Genomic DNA, 2,068 nt, shown 5'->3' on the forward strand with positions numbered 1-2,068 from the left:
TTGAGCTCAGGTGTTTGAATCTGGACTGATCTATGACTGTGCCACTGTACTCCAGCAAGAATGACAGATCTAGATCCTGTGTAAAAAAATGTACATATTGTATATATTGTCAATGACCAGTCACAGGTCTTACAATGCTGTTTATACAGTATGGTAAAAATGGTGTTGATAAAGAAATTATCACAATAATAATAATAATAATAATCATAATCATAATCATAATAATAAAAAAAATAGCCCAGTGTGTTATTTTATTATGTAAGTTGTTCATAAATTTAATATAAATGATGTAGATCTACAGTAATGGAGATGTGTAGACAAATCATGTCATTTGTTTTTTAAATCTCAACATAATAGAATTTTTTCTTTTTTTGGGATGGAGTCTCACTCTGTCACCCAGGCTGGAGTGCAGTGGCTCAATCTCAGCCCACTGCAACCTCTACCACCCTGGTTCAAGTGACTCCCCTGCCTCAGCCTCCTGAGTAGCTGGGATTACAGGTTCCTGCCACTGTGCCTGGCTAATTTTTGTATTTTTAATAGAGACGAGGTTTCACCATCTTGGCCAGGCTGGTCTTAAATTCCTGACCTTGTGATCCACTGGCCCTGGGCTCCCAACGTGCTGGGATTACAGGTGTGAGTCACTGCACCCAGCCAACGTTTCTTTTTTAAAGTGTGCAAGCTCTTTGACCAACATGTCCCTGTGCATCACTGTAATAAGATACCCAGAGCAACTGTTTCTACCGTGGATTTGGGAGGAGATTAAGACACATCCTTTCTACTTTGGATGCTCTTATCAGGATCAGGGGAGGTCCCTGCACTCTGATTTTCTCTCTCTTAAATGTGCAAAGTACAGAGATTTTTATCATGAATAATTTTAATAGAAATTAAAAATTCCATCATATTCAGGGACATGCAGGTTTTGTATTCATCATGTTTCTTCTTGATATTTTTAGGCCCTGGCCAGCTGCAAATGAATAATCTCTACCATCATCATTGTTTTCCTTTGTGTTTTAATCTTTCCTGATTCCATTCTCTCTACCTTTTATTTTGAAGAAGAAGACACCAAAAAATCCTGTCACTACCAAATGCAAAAAAAAAAAAAAAAAAACAAAAACAAATTACAAATAGTAACATTTACAAGTCACATTTGTGAATATATGTTTTAATTAGAAAACTGCAATTCTAAACTTTCAGAGGAAATGGTAGTAATATAAAACAGGGACATTTTTGTAATAAGGAACTCATATTCTTAATATTTTACAAATTATTATTCTCTCATCACCAAATAGTGTTACCTAAAGTAATATATAACCAATTTAATAAGTTTAGTTTTAAAAAACACAAAATTATAAAACAATTAATACAATATTTGAAATCGTGATGCATATTGCCAGCCTTCTGGTAAAGTTCTATTAACTCTACAAAAAATTTATAAATGGCAGACGATACATTTCCAGATAGTTTTGTGGCAATCAAAAAAGAATTGATTTATTAGCAATTTTTATATCACTTTGTGAAAAAATATTATTTGTGATAAGTATCATTATTTTTATTTATTTAAAACAGCTCATGTATTAAGAAATCATACTTTAGATGGGGCCAAGCTGGTCGATTAGAAGCAGCTGTGGCCCGTGGCTCTCACGGAGAGCAATGAAAACTGTGAGTGAATTCTACACCTTCAATTGAGGTACCCAGGCTCTTGCATTGTGACTGACTAGGCAGACAGCTCGACCCACAGACAGTGAGGAAAAGCAAGTGGGGCGATGGCCCACACAGGTGTGGCACGAGCTGGGGGAGCACTCACTCGCAGCCAAGTGAGGCGGTGAGTGATTGTGCGACTTTGTCTGGCAAACCATGCTTCTCCCACGGATCTTTGCAACCTGTAGATCAGGAGATCCCCTCGTAGGCCCAGGCACCATGGCTTGGGTCTGAAACACAGAGCTGTGTGGAGTCTCAGCCTAGTGCTCGCTGGCTCACTGGGGCATGCATGGAAATCCAGGAGTTTTGCATACTCTGCCCCGAGAATTCCAGCAAAGTGGGAGACATATCCATGCATTCCCCTAGTAAG

Source organism: Homo sapiens, chromosome Y (genome assembly GCF_000001405.40).
Source record: "Homo sapiens chromosome Y, GRCh38.p14 Primary Assembly".
NCBI lineage: Eukaryota > Metazoa > Chordata > Mammalia > Primates > Hominidae > Homo > Homo sapiens.